This window comes from Homo sapiens, chromosome 2 (assembly GCF_000001405.40).
Source record: "Homo sapiens chromosome 2, GRCh38.p14 Primary Assembly".
NCBI lineage: Eukaryota > Metazoa > Chordata > Mammalia > Primates > Hominidae > Homo > Homo sapiens.
The window spans coordinates 139,258,234-139,276,336 of record NC_000002.12 but is presented as its reverse complement, the minus strand read 5'-3'; the positions used below and the strand labels follow the sequence as shown (position 1 = coordinate 139,276,336).

The following is an 18,103-nucleotide window of genomic DNA, read 5'->3' as shown; positions in this document are numbered from 1 at the left end:
ACCACGCCCGGCTGTTTTTTTTTGTATTTTTAGTAGAGACGGGGTTTCACCGTGTTAGCCAGGATGGTCTCGATCTCCTGACCTCGTGATCTGCCCGCCTCGGCCTTCCAAAGTGTTGGGATTACAGGCGTGAGCCACCGTGTCCAGCCACACTCTTTAAAGTTTGATAGAGTTAAAAAAGTGTTTACATATGCATTTCTCTAGTTATTAATGCTCTTGTACATCTATTTAAATGCTTACTAACTGTTTAACTTGTATTCTTTTATGAACTGCTTCTATCCTTCCTACATTGAGCTGTGTTTTAGAAATTTTCACTCTATGAAGGAAATTTTTTATCATATCAGACTTTATTCCCATTAGTCAACCTTTGGTATAATTTCTTGATCTTAAAATTGTTGAGAAAAATTTGCTGAAGTCTGCCACGGTGATTGTGATTTGTCAAATATTTTCATGTTTCACTAGGTGTTTTAAATTCAAAGCTATTGGCCAGGCATGGGGGCTCACGCCTGTAATCCTAGCACTTTGGGAGGCTTAGGCGGGTGGATCAAGAGGTCAGGAGTTCAAGACCAGCCTGACCGACATGGTGAAACCCCATCTCCACTAAAAATACAAAAATCAGCCAGGCGTAGTGTCGTGCTCCTGTAATACCAGATACTCAGGAGGCTGAGGCAAGAGAATCACTTGAACTCAGGAGGCTAAGGCAGGAGAATCACTTGAACCCGGGAGGCAGAGGTTGCAGTGAGCCAAGATCGCATCACTGCACTCCAGCCTGGGTGACAAAGCAAGACACAGTGTCAAAAAAAAAAAAAATTCAAAGCTATTAATATATTTTAATACTATTTTTATTAGGTACATAAATATTTGTGACTAATGTGTTTTGAGTGGATAATAACATTTATTATTATTAAACACCTCTTTTTATCCTTCTTTAAAATCCCGCTGAATATATATATAATGAAAAATGTTCAGTCTAATGTTAGTATTGCTACATCTCTGTAATTTTATTCAGCATCTGCCTTCTAATGTTTTAACATTGCATTATATTCAAATTTTGTGTTATTGTCAAACTTTGTCTTTTATGAGGTGTTTATTTTTTAACCAAAATTCAAATGAGAATTTACTTCTAATAAAAGATGTAATTCATTCTATTTTAGTGTGATTATTGATGCATTTTGCATTATTCCTGATATTTTATCTTAAATTTTTTGTTCAATTTTCTTACTCCTTTTCTTACCTTTCTGCCTTTTTGACTCTGTTTTCTTAATTCTAACTTTTCCTTCTAATGATCTGATATGTAGATATAGTATTGTAATCTAGTGGCTACTTTCACATTTCTAACACATTTATTAAATAAGTCTTAATAAATATTTATACAGTCTATTTCCCAACCAGAAAATAAAAATATAAGCATTCATTCAGTGCAGCTTCTTCTTATTTTGATTATGTCTTAGGTTTTTAGTAGAAAATAGACAACAATATTTTTAAATGTAAAGCAAAATAAATGTTCAGAGTTAAATATAAGATTTACTAAATCATTCACTCACACTTTTTTTTCCCCATGGATTTATTTTTTCTCTTTCTGTGGTATACACCTGTTTGGAAAAATCTCATTTATCCCTTTTGTTAGAATGCTAGCATAGCCAATTACAGAATTCCAGGTTCAAATCATTTTCTTTCACTCTCGTGCCAGTGTCAAGTGACTTCTGATTATAGGGCACAATTGTGATATAAGGATTAGTTTAACTGTACACAAGCAGGCATTGGATCCCCTGCCATTGTTTACCCACTCTAGTGACAGGCCTGATCCAAGGCAATGGGACAGAATGATTGCAAAAAAAGTTGTTTCCTGTCCGTCTATTTATTTCTGAGCTGAACTCTTGATTGCTGTGAATACTTACGTTACTTTTCAAAACCACTCACGGAGAGGAGTCCAATCTTAACTGGCATCAAGAATTGTCTCCATCAAGAACACTCCAAGGTATGTCCTCCAATTTCCAAACTTCCAAATTTCAACCTCCAGAATTGTGAGAAAATAAAAATGTTGTTTGTTTAAGCCACCAGTCTATAACTTTTTTATGGTAGCATTGGCTGACTAAGACACTTTGGCTCCACCCATGAGTTGTACTGATCCAGACAAAAGCTAGGACCCATCACCATTCATTTGGGTGATATGTGGGAAGCCATGGCAGCCTTCCTAGCTGCAGAGTTCCATGCTTGTGTGCCCATGGTAAAAGCTGTGGAAGATGTGTCTGCTTAGAGGTTAGCCCCCTGGTATCATTACTGGACCAGATCTATGGTAGGGTCTGGGGCTTTATCACTGGGCCAGATCTATGATAGGGTTTGGGGCTTTATCACAAACACCTGAGCCTGGATTTCTGGCATTTTTTCAGACATTCCTTTGCATAACCCCAACATTTTCTAAAATCAGCCACAGTCAATGTCTACTGCTTTCAGCTAAAAGTCCTGACATATGTCAGCTGCTAATTTTAAAATATTATTACTTGTGGTGATTATACAACTATTATAGATAGAGCTTTTAATATAGGTTATTTTTGTGCTACCCACAGGAAACAAAATAGTTGAATGCTTTGGTTGACTCTTATCCTAGTTTAATATAACACAGCGGCAAATCACCTCAACTGTTCTGGGGAAAACGCTGATATCGACATCTAAATTATAATTAAACCTGGTTGTGTATGCCTAGCTCTGAGGTGACTGGTCAATTTTTCCAAATTGGTCAATTCAGTCCAACCACTCAGATGCACTGTAACATACAAATTCTCTACCTGCAGAGAACAAGGTTAATAAATAGCATCTTCTGTGCTTTCTCTGCTAAAACAAGTTAACATGTAAGTTACTCGTTTCTCAAATAGGTTCACCTAAGGCCATACTGTGGTTTGGCTCATAATTTACCTGTGGTGGCTAGAAAATCACTCAGTTTAAATTACAATATACTGCAGCACAGTGAAATCTATTTTCTAAGCTTTATTATGTTAGGGAACCAAGGTGGCCTAATCAATTTCAAGCAGTTTTTAAAATCTTCTAGAATTGAATAAAAGAAGACACTATGTAAAAGGCATTTAGATGGGCTTATGTGATACTTAAGACATCTCTTATTATTCTTCAACAAAGCATAGTGCATATCATTTTCATTTCATATGCAAAAGAGCTTTCAGTCCTATATATTTACAGATCAAAATATCATAATTATACTTTCATTCTGGTTAGTGCTCGAATTAAACTAAACTAAGCCCTGTTAAATCTTCTCTTTTTGTCCTCAGGGCAAAACAGAAATTTCCCTCAAAATTCATTTTTCACTTCTCCCCTCCATACATTTGAATCAACCAAGGTTTGTATGTTTCCTTCTACTGCTACCTCACTGATTCTATTCACCAACTACCCCAATCCTTATCCATAAATTATTTACATATGTCTTCAATCATTCTAGGATTTCTTTCACCTTTTTTCCCTCGTGGTCTAGTGATTAGCATTCAGTGCACTCTTTCTCTTTCACCTTCCAAATACATACATTTTATTCACTCAGAGCTTCGTTAGGAGACAGCTGGCCAATCTGGTAAATTTATCTTGTGATGATGTTGAGACATTCTAGGTTTTCTAGGTACAGGTTAATGAAAACTTTCTGAAGAAAATGCATAATCCAAATGGAGGAGAGGGAACTCTTTTAGAAATCTAGGTTCCATCTGAATTTTGCCATCAAATAACTATTATTTTTTCTTTCTTCTCATCATTAAAACAAGGAAATTATCCTAAGACAAATTTCAGCTCTCAAATTAAATAACTAGACTGTAGAGACCCTGGGAAGCTATTGGGAAAATTAATTTGAATGCAGAAAAATAACAGTGTAGTTCGTCACCTACTGTGTCTTCATCTACAGGCAGAAGCATTTAACATTCTGAGATATCAAGGTGGGCAATATATATGTGATAGATTAAGGGAGGTCAAAAATATTTTATAACTTTCCCAAACAGTGGTAGCATCAATGTTCCTACCTCTTGAATCTTGGTGGGTGCAGAACTGCTTGGTCAATAGGAATATGCCAAAAGCTGGTGTGTACCAATTTCTAGGCCCATAAGAGACTATCAGCTTCTACTTTGCCTCTTGAACACTTACTTTTGCATCCATGTGTTGAGAAAGTAAAGGCAGTACCATGGAAAAGCCTGTATGGACAAGATGGGAGGCCCCAGCAATAGCCCCGACTGATTGCCCAGCTGACAGCCCCTGACAACTTACTAGGCTTGTGTGTAAGCCATTGTAAGAATGGGTCCTCCAGCTGTGGCTGAGAAATCCCAGCTGAGGCCTCACAAAGCTGAGATAAACATCTCTTCAGAAACATCTCCAAACTGCAGATTTGCAACAAAATAAATGATTGTTATTACTGTTCTAGCAACTGAGTGTTGGGTTGTTTGTAACCCAGCAGTAGACAATTGGGATAATATACAAGCACCCTCCATAGCTCTCACTTCCTTCAATTCTCTATTTTGTCTCATGTATGTCTTTATATGTATTTAAGCAGAGGGAATTAGATTTGAATATGGGCAGTCTAGGGAAGTACCTGAAAGCATGGGGCAAACAAACTTGAATGACAAAGAGATCCACTTGTGTTTGCCAAAACAGTAAAAGTATAAACTCAGGAAAAGTGACAGGAGGCACATTACTAATTTTAACATTGTTGTTCATTCTCTATATCAGCAGTCCCCAACCGTTTTGGCAACAGGGACAGTTTTGTGGAAGACAATTTTTTCCATGAAACTTGTGGTGGGATAGGGGATGGTTTCAGGATGAAACTGTTCCATCTCAGATCATCAGACATGAGATTCTCATAAGGAGCTTGAAACCTAGATCCCTTGCATGCACAGTTTACAATAGGGTTTGCACACCTATGAGAGTCTAATGCTGCTGATGATGATCTGACAGGAGGCAGAGCTAAGGCAGTTATGTGTGCTTGCCAGCTACTCATCTCCTGCTGTGCGGCCAGGTTCCTAACAGGCCATGGACCAGGTGCACAGCGGGAGGACTGGTACTGGTCTGTGGCTGGGGGTTGGGGATCCCTGCTCTATATCATATCTCTTACTTTTCTAAAGTTGATAATGATAGTTGTATTGACAAGCTGTGTGTAATATACAAAGTTCACAAACAAAACACTAAGAAAGTTAATGGTTCAATTTTAAAAACATAAAATTAATTTTGAGGACAAACGGCTATTTTTATCTATCATTTAACAACAACAACACAACAAAAATCTGTTGTCTTAAACTTCCTATGCACTTCACTGTGTACATAGTGAAGCATGTACACATGTATTTCAGCAAAGCACAATGTATTAGATTCTGTTCAGCAAAGCACAATGTATTAGATTCTGTTATTTCCCCCAAGCTGGTTAATGGCTGGAACTTTCAATATACTTTTGGAGGTCAAATGCTTAGACCAAAATAAGCAACTGCTTGATGTCAAATGCTTTACTAGTTATTCGTGTTTACACATTTACTGAACTCAGACCAACAGTTTTGAGTCTGTGGGGTAAAATTAAGCAAGAACCCTCCAAACATGTTGTTTACCAGAAATCCCAGTTCAGAGACAAAACCACAGGCCAATGGCACCTGCCAAGTGAGGAACCAGACAGTGAGCTCTTGCTGTTCAGCAGTCCGATAGATTGTGATTTTTGCAAATAAAGGCACCATAACTGTTTCACTGGCCATTTTGAGTACAGAATTCAAAAACATTTTGGAAGTTCCTCAAAAAATTAAAAATTGAGCTACTATATGATCCAGCAATCTCAATGCTGGGAGTATACCCCCAACAAAGGACATCAGTGTATCAAAGAGATATCTGCACTCTGTTCATTGCAGCACTGTTTACAATAGCTAAGATTTGGAAGCAACCTAAGTGTCCATCGACAGATGAATGGGCAAAGAAAATGTGGTAGTTATGTACAATGGAGTACTATTTAGCCTTAAGAGAGAATGTGATCCAGTCATTTTAAACAACATGGATGAAACTAGAGATCATTATTTTAAGTGAAATAAGCCAGGCACAGAACAATCTAGTTTCTTTATTGGCTATTGAGACAGATTTACATCCATATACAACTATGAATATTTGATCTCAAATGCAAATTAATAGAATAATAGTGTTTAGTTCAATCTATCTAGTTCAATTTCTTTTTCAGTGACAAGGTCAGAATTCAGGATTTCGGGGTTTTGTTTTAAAATATATTTTTAATCTTACTCTTTTACTTTTCAGCATATTTTGCTATATTGTTCAGGACGTTACAGTAACCTAAAAAGAGCTGTTGATAGACACTTTTAGGATAATATAATCATTGTTGATTTAGCGTCTGCTCACAGAACTATTTCCTCCTAAAAGAACTCATTTAGTGTGCTGTTACGATTTTATTCACATGTATTGTTATTATTTCACAGTAGCCTTCATTTGTTAATAGGTAGGATTTAAACTGTTCAATCTGGTCACTGCAAGGTGGGGTTATACTTATTGTCTCCTCTAGTCAGCACAAACCCAAAGATATTTCTAGAAAAAGACCTCCAAGATGATAGAAGCTCAAATCTTCTCTTTCAGATATTCAGATTTTTGGTCTCTAAAAAAGTTTCAAATTTTATAAAAATCATCACTTTTTCTGTTTCATAGTTAGGAACTGTGTCTTTATCTTTCAAACAATTATCTACAACTGATGATAGATTTAAAATATAGTATTTAGAAACTGTAAGAACACTACAGCCATTATCTATAGTCATTTTTAACTCACACAATTTTTTTCAAAAAAGTCCTTTCTTAAATAACTGCAAATGTTATTTGCAAAACAACTGAATCCGTCTCATTCTCTGTAATTATTTTTATTTTCTCCTTGAGAAAATTAATTTAAGTTACAATTATGCTATTCTGAACACAAAGATTACCTCTTTGATGTACTTCTGGAAAAAAAAAACGGAATGCTTGTAGTGATATATAAGTCTGTTACCTGCAATTGGTATAATTCTTTGATTGTAAAATAATATGATTAAAGCATTATTGTCTTTAACATGCATAAAAATTCACTGATATGTTTACATGTCAATTCTAATGGCTTTGATGAACTCCAATACAACTTTTCTGGAAAAGTAGATAGATTTTCATATAGGGCAAACTCGAGAGGAAGTAAAGCTGTCTTTTGTCATCCCCTTGTACAATAATGTCAAAAGATGCTATTCTTATGTATACAGGTGCTCATATACTAAGATCACCAGCTAATAGATTTTGCTTTTTATTTTTAAAAAAGAGAACCCATCAAGAATGAAGAAATTAGGAGACTATTATCTATTATAACTTTGGCAGTTATTATAGAATTTGATTTTTGCAGAGTACTAAGATCCGCTGTTTGAATACAAAGCCATGTGTGTGAACTACATGATTCGTCTTTTGTGGAATTATCAACCTAAGGGCATACTACCTTTACTATAATTATTGAGGGGCTTAAATTGTGATGGTATTCAGTATCTCTCATATAAATTAATTTAGAATTCAAGGAGAAAATAATATTTTATCTGAAAAATTGGTGTGCTTTCTCACTTCTGATACTAATCATACAATCAATAATGTTTTCTTTTCCTCTGATTACCAAGAAGCTTAAAGTACATTACCTTTTCATATTATTATTTTATGATTATCAGGCAAACAAAATTTCTTTGTACTATGCTGTTTCTGACTATTGTTAAATTATTGTAAATGAAAGATTTCATTCTAACCCAACCCTTGTCATGATCATTACACAAATTAAATTAGTAGGATCCAAATTAAAGGACAGAGGAAAGCTGTGGAAAATAAAGTATGTTCTTGGAATGTATGGTGTAAAACACCCTGCCTTAATATCTCAAGGTATTGTTTTAGATTGGCTTTTGATCTGAGATTCTCAAGGCTGGCAGTTGTAAATAGCATATTCCTCTTAATTCTGTGATATCAAATCTCCTATTCTTTTTCATGAAGCAATTTGGTTTGGGGAAGCAGCTCACATACAAAACCAATAAGAGACATTACTGTTTGTCTCTAAATCCTTATGCTGGATCATATTGAAAGATGAGTGTCAGGGTGAGAAACCATTTGGACAAAATCAAATAAAAAAATGAGTATACATTCGTAATAAGGCTATTCATTCAACATTTGTTTCTGTGGATAAAAATCAGCTCTATTTCCTTTTCCTTATAATTCATTATATGGACTTATTCTCATTATAACAAAGAGGCAAATTGCTTCTTGAAATAGTATCTTTATCCTAACATATTATATCAGTTTTTTATACAGTTATAACAGGCATTTCTTTGAGAAAAAGGAAAACTGTTTGTCCTCCCATCATGTTCATGAACCCCTATGATACTTTTAAGATGTCATGAATCATTGATCCTTCATTTTTCTGCCTGGGATAAGAGGGCTCACTTCTTCATCCTGAGGGGACTGGGAAGTAGAGAAAGTAATAATCCTTCATGTTCTATAAGTGACTCTCAGATGAAAGAACAAAAGCTCATACACATTCCAAGGATCTGCCCCTGTGAGTATAAGGCTAATAAATTAATTGAAGATCCCTAACAGAGAATGTTATGTTAGTGTTATTTCAGGAAGCTGTGCAGCTATTTTTTGATATAGTATTTGAAAAAGGAACCTCAAATATTAAACCACAAGGAAAATCTTTCATCAAAAAGTGGCTTCCAAGTCACAGACATAAGAATTGAAGAGGTATCCTTAGTGTATGTCAGAAAGTTCACACCATGACACTGATATTGCAGTTTAGGAAGTCATCACTCTAGTTAAGATAATTTGAGTTTCCCCTTTATATGGATTTTATCTCTGTATTTCAGTGGTTTTAGTTATCCACACAGCTCTTCTCTGTTAACAGATCCTTTGTTCTTAACACTGCAAAAATGTAGCGCACAATTAGTCTCTGGGTTCCTGATATTTGCCCTGAATTGGCATTCAGTCTCATCTGTAACTTGTCTTATCTTTGCATGCCTTTGTCTGCCCAAGAGACTTTAGCTCTCTACATCCTCTGGCTTTGGCATCTTGACTGATCTACTTCTTTATTTTTATTTTTTTATTTTTTGCCCGTTAGGTTTCTGGTTAATGGCTCATCTACTCTTCGCTAAAATGCCTCTTTTCTGGCTGCCTACACAAAACCATTAACCTGACTCCTGACCTCAGCCATCCTCCTGGAGTTTCCCCATCCATACAGCCTTCTCAAAAGGCCCAGAGAACCATGCCCCAAATAAAACCCTGTTTAAAACACAGTTCCCTTCTTGTGTGTATGTGTTTTTTTTAACCATAGTCCTTCCCTAGGTGTCTTCAACACAGCATCACATTCTGGCCTCACTTTATTGACCTTAGACCATATTGTCAGAGCCTATCTTCCCTTCTTCTGAAAAATAATTACTCATAGTCTCAGTGGAATGCAGAAGCCAAATCTCATTGGCTCACAAGGGATGATTGTTAGATATTCCAATATTTCATGAGCGGTTGTCAATCCGTTAGCAGCTTAACGTCAGCCATGATAAGAATATTTACAGCAGAGGAATTGGCAAATGCTTTAAATCAAAGTTTTCTCCATCCTCCCACTCAATTCCCCAATGCCCGCCTCTCCTTCCAGCAAGTTTATCACACACCACTGTTCTTTTTCCTGAGCACCATCTTATGAGGCAGAAATAAATCAGAAAAAGTATTAAATCTAGCATGTGATAATGTGCTACAAGATAATATATCCAAAAACATTTGTGTTTAACAGAAATTCCCTGAAGAATTCCATGAACTCAATATTTCCCAAATTTAGTGTCCATCAGAATCATATAAGAAGTGTATAAGATTGCAGAAGTCAAGACTGTATCCCAGGCTCTTCTGCATTTGAGCTCTGGGCATCCTTGTTAACAAGCCTCCTAAGCAAATTAGAGTCCAGCAAAGTTTGAGAACCACTAAGACAATAAATCTCAAGTGGTAACTTGTACAGTATCAAAATAAGAAAATGGAGTCATTCAGCAGAGCCTTTCCCATGACACTTTGGAGATGATTATCCATTATATTCCAAAATATACCCAGATGTATATAAAGCAAGCAATTATACAGTGCCTCTACTAAGCCACATGACATTGATGTTCTTTTATAATTTATTCCATAACAAATCCCTAAACAGTAGTAAAAGATATAAACATTCAATTTTCAAATTCCAAAAATACCTCTCCAGACCTTAACGGTTTTATTGGGTCTTCCTATATAAATAAAAATACTTCGATTGTTTTTTTCAGCTTTATCTATCTGAAGATAATTTTATTATTTTGCAATGCTATGAATCTGCAAAAGAATGCTTCTAAGTATCTAGATAATTTCTAGGTTGCCCTCTTTATGCGTGAACAAATCATTTTGATATTTTTCCTTCAAATATTGGGTTTAAATACTATGTTTTAAAAGACACTTACCCATTCTCTCTGTCTCCTTATTGGTTCCCATTTGAAAAAGAATGAACAGAGAGAAAAGTAGGGGAAAAAACGGTTAACAGAGAAAAAGGAAAATGGATGCAGTGATCCCTGAAGTTTAAGTAACAAGGCTCTTTATGTCAGTGCAATTTTTTGCCCTCTTTTGACACTTTAAATAAGATGTATATGCAGGTGGATGTCTCAAGTTTTAAATGATGAACCAAGGAGTGTAATTTATCAGAAAAGCGTTCCTCTGTAGACATTTTTCTGAATGAGAAATGTGCCACCCAGAATGTGCTACAAAATGTTAATGGCTTTGAGTCTATACAAATTTGAACTTTATCGAAATGTGCTAATAATGAGATAGATTTAAAAATTATATACTGGGTTGCAGAACAGTAGGATTGTGGCAACGAAAGCATAGGGAACAATGTATTATCCTGCCATGTAAAAGGACCCCAGGCATTCAGCAGTCAAGAGATGGGTTCCACTAACCTTTCCCTTGCTGTGCTTTCTCACAAACCTTAGCAGCTAGGGTAATTTAGCTTGATTTTGATAATGAGATCAATAGTTAAACCAAGAGGCAGGAGTGGCCAAAGGGAGTAGGCAGTTTAAAAACTCATATTTTGTTGTGCTTTAAAGTCAATGGGTTGGTCATGTTTAACCACCCTGCTCCCCGTTCAACACAAGTCAGGAGAATCACTACTGAATAGCAGCGGGCAGAGATCACATTCTTTCCATCAAAGTTTTGAAAGTCATTTCTTGCTATTTACAAAATGGCCATTTTTCTACAAGGAAACTAGAAAGAGCTGTATTCTCTCTTGATGGCATATGCACCTGAGTTGGTTATTGTGATGCTCATCAGTAACTTCTTACAAAGAAACTATGCTTGTTCTTTCTGTGTTGAAGCCCAGACATATTATCATCACATCATATTTTTGTGGACTTCGGTTTGATCTAGAAAGCACTCCTTTTAAGCCTCCATTCATAACTATATTCTTAAAAGATTTATTTTTAAATTTCACTCTCAAAGTAGATGTTACCTTCTGACAAAATATATTAAGGATGTATATGACATGGTTCACACTCCACAGAAGAAATACTTAATGATCTCTTCTTTAATTCTGACATTTTTTGTTTTTGCCAAAAAATAAGCTTACAGAATAGGGTACTACTGAGAGGTCAGTAACAGGTAAAAACAGGGAATATTATTTTAGACAGATAGAGCAGGCTAAATCCAAGTTCCCATTCTTTTTTGTTAAGATATCACCAGTGCTTTTAGCTATCCATTATTCACCTTCACAAAAGCGTTAAGTTGGAAAGTAAACCCTGCCATTTATTTCCAATGCTCACTTAACAGAAATAAATGCAGCTACCACCTTCCAACTCTAAATGATACGAGATGGAGTGTTTGAGTTACTGACTGTAACCTTGACAAGGCGTCTAATCACTGTCTGAGAAACTCAATCAGCCAGCATCTAATCATACACTGGGATGAAAAACAAGATTAGAATCTCTGAATCCAACATGGAGAATGGGGTTTATATTTGAGGAGCAATTTTATTGGTTTGCAACAGATTGCAGATTTGCAAGAATCTTGACGATTGCAGGAAATTGCAGATTTGGACCCTTGATTACTTATTTCTATAATACTCCATTATTACAGAAATAAGATGTGTGTGTGTGTGTGTGTGTTTGTGTGTAATAATCACAATACTCACCACCAAGGTAACTGCACTTTTATTCAGGCTTTCTCCTTCGTGTATGAACTCAAATTATTATGTGGATGATATATAATGTCAGACATCTTTGAGAATATATAACAAATTCAAAATTGAGAATATATAACAAATTCAAAATTTGAGAATATATAACAAATTCACAATTTTACTTGTATTATTTCAGTTTAAATACACAATGGACACCACATTCCAAAAATAATAAATCAACCAAGACTTGTCAGCATCATGAAGGTGAACTATTCAGCTATGTAAAATAATATTTGCAGAATATCCGAAAGCTTGTACTTCTGCTTACCTCTACAAGGTATGATATAATTTTCTATTTGAGCCATAAACCAAAAAATGCCAGAAATGTATGTGACTAAATAAACCATACAGTCTAATACCATTATTAGAGTTTAAATGAGCAAGACATTGTGAAGGTATTTACTTAACAAACACCTATGTAGTAGTAATTGTGTGTAAATCACTGCTGTGCGAAATCTATAAATATTAACTTATTTTATCTTCATAACAACCAATGAGAGTACTATTATTACACAAATTATATAAGTGAGCAAACAGAAATACAGAGACATTAAGCAACTTGCCCAGAATCACAAGCTAGTAAGTGGCAGATACAGGATTTAAATCCAGGCACTCTGACCAAAGAGGGTATACTTTTCTGCAATTCATGAGAGTCATGACAAGAACTTTTCAGGCCCAAAAGATACCTTATTGGCTGACCTCAGTGATTTGACGACAAAACATTTTTCTAGGTGCCATTACAATGTTCTTGCTCAAATAGGGATAGTAGCTAATATTACTTGAGCAGGTACCACCATTTTTCAGGATGCCTTTGTATTTTATCTCATTTATCTCCACAGAGACCTATATAGACATTTAAAAAACAAAAACAAAAAAAAAAACAAAACAAAAAAAACAAGGTCTCAGTCTGTTGCCCAGGCTGGTGTGCAGTGGTGCCATCATGGCCCACTGCAACTTCGAGCTCCCAGGCTCAAGCAATTCTCCCAACTCAGCCTCCTGAATAGCTTGGAACACAGGTGCATGCCACCATGCCTGGATAACTTTTTGTAGAGACAAAGTCTCCCTATGTTGCCCAGGCTGGTCTCGAACTCCTGGACTCAAGCAATCCACCTTCCTCAGCCTCCCAAAGTGCTGGGATTATGGGTGTGAGCCAACTCATCTGACTCACATTTTTTTTTTTTTTTTTTTTTTTTGAGACGGAGTCTCGCTCTGTCATCCAGGCTGGAGTGCAGTGGCGGGATCTCGGCTCACCGCAAGCTCCGCCTCCTGGGTTCCCGCCATTCTCCTGCCTCAGCCTCCCGAGTAGCTGAGACTACAGGCGCCCGCCACACGCCCGGCTAATTTTTTTGTATTTTTTTAGCAGAGACGGGGTTTCACCGTATTAGCCAGGATGGTCTCGATCTCCTGACCTCGTGATCCGCCCGCCTCGGCCTTCCAAAGTGCTGGGATTACAGACGTGAGCCACCGCACCTGGCCCTGACTCACGTTTTTATTTGTATTTTACAATTAGGAAATTAAGGGTTAGAGAAGTTAAGTAGCTTTCCCAAGTTCACACTGCAAGCAAACACATATTCTAGTCTACTGACTCAAAATTTCACTCCATACCACATACCACGTTTTCTAAAATTATATATGATTGGAAGATTTGATCTGTGGATTTCTTTAGGAAAGTAAATTAAACTTACATTTTTGGTTTTGCCTAAAGACCCCAATTAATGTCTTGAACTTCATATTTCCATATGATGCTTTGGAAATTATCATAAACTCAGGTACAAATTGACCACAACTAGTCACTAAGAAGGGAGAAATTCTTTAGACAAGGCCATAAAAAAATGTTCAGCAACTATACATACCTAAATAATATATCCTGATATGTGAAGTCTTCAATCAATTGAACAAATTAATATTTTCATTATTACAAATAAGTAAACAAATTTATTTAAAATCTCTAATAATTTGACTCAACACTGCAACTATTACCTTTGACTATTCTTAAATTTAAATGCCACTTTGAAGCCCTAGTGCCTTTGAAGTCATGTTAACTACAAGATCCAAGGAAACTGGAGTATCTGGGGTGTGGAGGGAAGAAGGTAAGTTCATAGACTACAGCAGTCTGCCAGGTTGTAAATCTTGGCTCATCCACTGACTTGGACAAGCTATTCAGCCTCTCAGTGCCTCAGTTTCCTTATCTGTAAATGAAGATAATAAGTCTATTACTCATTAAAGATTAAATGAGTTACATGTTGAATAAAACTTGACACATAATAATTGTTTGATACTATTATAGAGGATATTAAAGTATTTTTGCCCTGTTTCCTACCAGTTTTGCTCTTTCTTAGATGCAGTAGGAAACCTTGAGTTTCCTATAGGGATTGAGTTGTTTCCCTAACACTAACTTGTATACCTAAAAGAGTTATAAACAAGTAAACCTAACTACTTTATACAACTACTATTGCATATTTAGCTTTAATTGTTGCCATATGCACAAGTTTTGAGCAAACTAAATGGAAATACCTTATTGATATAATATACAGCTATTTGTTTTTAGTTTTAATAAATACTATCTTAAATATTAGTTGTCTTATGGTTACTAGAAAGAGCACCTAAAAAGAAAAATTAGATATACATGAAGCCTCTAGGTGCTTTTGATCTACATTTGTTTAATGCTCCATAGCCTTCGGTCAAGTATCGACCGAGTTTATTTAACATTATTATTAATAACAAAGTTATGTGTCTCTCACATTTTAGGATTTCTGACCACCTGGATCTGTGCTAAGTAGCATTTCAATGGCCATACTGTAGAAAGTTCTACAAGATGAGCATTTACTGGGTTGTGAGGACACCATGGCAGTCACTCCAAGATCTTAAATAATGGGTTAAAATGGATGTGATCTCTTCTCAGCTTCATCCAGTAGTATACTACTACAGCATGCAAGGTAATTCAGAACTCGGTACTCTTGAGCGTCATTATCACTATGAGCTGGAAGTCTCACTCATATGACAGAGTCATTATCTATCTGTCTAACTACCTGCCAATCTATCTATTATCTATCTATCTATCTATCTATCTATCTATCTATCTATCTCCCAATCTACCTGCTGATCTATTTATCTATCTACCTATCTATCATCTATCTATTATCTATCTGCCAATCTATCTGCTTATCTATCTATCTATCTATCTGTCTATCTACATCAATCTATCTCTATGTTTCAGGCATCCTCAGTGAGGTTTCTGCTCTCCCAGGAAAGCAGAGCATGGCAAACTAATCCCTGTGACCCCAAGTATGTCACTAATGTGTCACTGAGAGCTCTGGGGCACAAAAGGGCTAGTTAAAGAACAATAAATTATGACCTGGCATTCCACAGGAGTGAAGAAATAACTAGAAATGACCCTTTGGCAGTTCATTAGGCTCCTGCAACTTGAACACAGATGCATGGATCAAGAAAGACCCTGATAAATTATTATTTCAATTTCTTCCATTCCGGCTGAACGAGGATGTAAAATATAAAATTGAGTAATAGAACAAGTTATCATTCTCAATATACCTGAATTATGTGGCTTGAGATTTATACCACCTATGCATAAAATCAGATATGTTTAGGGTCATCTTTGCTATTACCACTACCTCTGTCATGGTAGATTTTTTAAGGGCTGATATTCTACTGTTGTTATTTTTTTCTTCTTCACTTTTAAAACCAGCTCTTTCTAAAGGACGTTGCACTACACAACATTGTTGCACTGCCCATCACTGGCTCACAGTGATGTAGCTCTTTGCCATGTGTCATGGTCTTCCCTTTCCCAAAGCTACATACTCAGGATTGGGACTGGGAGGGGTGTGTGTGTGTGTGTGTGTGTCCTCTAATGGCCAGACACAGCCTTACACTTTGCCATAACCCCTGCTCTCTCTGCCTCTAGGGTCTAATATGCAGATTGGTCCTGTCTCCCAGACTTCCGCCTAACTCATGGCTATTTTCTTTCAGGGGAGTCACAGTTTTCCCTTCCAGTTCCACCTCTTGAGTGAAACCTTGTCCATTTTCCCAATTTATGTATTTCTTATTCACAATTCCTAATTTCTAACTCGTCCTACGTGCATCTTTAGACACGCACCTGGGTCAGGGCACCCAGTTCAGAGTGGCTGGTCAGTTTGGTACGGGTCAGTTAAATCACCTTCAGAGCATTCTAAAGCAGTAAGGCAGTTGGTGTGCCTATGGAACAAAGAGGATCTCTTGGGGTTTACGGGACCTAACTCCAAAACTCAGCTTAAGTGACTCATGGCCAAATCCTGTGTTTCCTGACTCATTTAATCCCACCATCAAAGTGGCTTGTGTTTTTGAGACCCACAAACAATAAGTAGATGAGGGAGTAACTTGACATTTTTCCCTTACAGGTATTTTTCATCTTTAGGTGTGAAAAGCTACTTCTTTTCTCAAATGAGTCATTCAAAAACAAACTCACTGTAAATAGCTATTTTGTAAGAGAGGGAAAAAAATGTCCTGTGTCAAGGTCATGGTCCAGGTCTGGAGATAAAGTGCCCTTAAAGCACCTCATGTCCATAACTTCCCTGTTAGTATTTTGATCAGTGAGCTGACCTTGCTTGTGTGGTTATCCAGGGTTATTTTTTACATGCAGGACAAAAGATTCTCATTTATTAACCTAGAGAAAGCTCCCCAATGAAACAAAGTCTTTCTGAATGCACAGTTTAAATGGATTGTAATCCATTAACTTTCATTATTAAGTTTTTTATTCTCTTGAGTTTAAGCCCTTCAAGATATGAATTTATTATCATAACCATGATTTAGTTAAGAAGGCTTTACAATGTTGTAAAAAATTGGAGTCTTTATCACTAGAGAAGGGATGGATATTAATTCTCTAGCTGGTTGCTAAACATAGGCACACATGGATTAAGTTTATGCACAGTCATACAGATTTCAATATTACATTTTCCTCAAAATGGTAGTATAAATGCTTACTTTGGAAGAACTCCACTTTACAAAGATCAGCTTAAAATGAAGCTAAGATACTTACATTTTCCCATTTTTGTCAAGTCTCTACAGAGTCTGTAAAAAAAATGCTTTAAAAATCCAAATTATTTTACTCTGAATGTATAACAGTCTCGTACTCAAAAAGTTGTTACAATTCTCTACCTCATGACAGACCAAATCAACTGAATAAATGACAAGATTATATAAGAACTAGATTTCATCCTAGTGTAAGTTTATAATATATTATTGATTATTCCTATAACCTATCTAAAAAAATTGTACAGTTAAGATATTTAAAAAGTTGACTCATGTTTTTCTTCCCATAAAAGCACATAAGAACTTAGTAATAGTTTTGAAATTACAAAAACCATATTAATGATATTATTAAACCTTTCCTAGTGGTTGAGTAAGCACAGAATTCTTTAGGCTTTAAGGGATTGTCTTTTTTAAGATGAAATGTAATATTTATCACAGAGTTTATGTATTTCGTGACCACTTAAAATGTGTAAAACTGCTACTATTTTAATTAGGTTCCTATCTTTATTATATGTTACTAAGTTTTGGAGTGTTGTGTCTCAACCTGTTTATCTCATAAGTCCTGTGTTGTGTTCTTTCTAATTAAGCTTTCAATTAATTTACTTAATTTAATTAAGATAATTGTAAATTTACTTGTAATCATCAAGAAATAATGCAGACAGATTTCTTGTACCCTAATCCAGTTTCCCTAATGGTAACATATTGAAAGATACAATATCACAAACAGGATAATGACATGAATACAGTTAAATACACAATATTTTCATCAACACACGAAATTTCATGTAGCTCTTTTGTAGCCAAACCTACTCTCCTTTCACCTGGACCACTTCTTTAGCACCTGTTAACCAC

General features: G+C 35.9%; 2 long non-coding RNA genes across 3 annotated transcripts in view, besides 1 other annotated feature; both read right to left on the bottom strand.

The window, feature by feature from the left end:
• Positions 1 to 18,103, bottom strand: part of LOC105373643 (uncharacterized) — a 144,473-nt gene that overhangs the window by 102,809 nt on the left and 23,561 nt on the right. The gene's annotated exons all lie outside the window — the stretch shown is intronic.
• On the bottom strand, positions 12,185 to 16,911 carry LOC105373641 (uncharacterized). The gene is made up of 3 exons (XR_923372.2): positions 16,341 to 16,911; positions 14,210 to 14,418; positions 12,185 to 13,072 (listed from the first exon to the last, which is right to left on the bottom strand). It is a non-coding gene; the product is annotated as an uncharacterized LOC105373641 (long non-coding RNA).
• Positions 16,604 to 16,898: an enhancer, noted in NCBI's record as "tiled region #11055; HepG2 Activating DNase matched - State 8:EnhW". NCBI's record gives its function as "activates a minimal TATA promoter and a strong SV40 promoter by Sharpr-MPRA in HepG2 cells {active_cell/tissue: HepG2}" and the evidence as "EXISTENCE:reporter gene assay evidence [ECO:0000049][PMID:27701403]".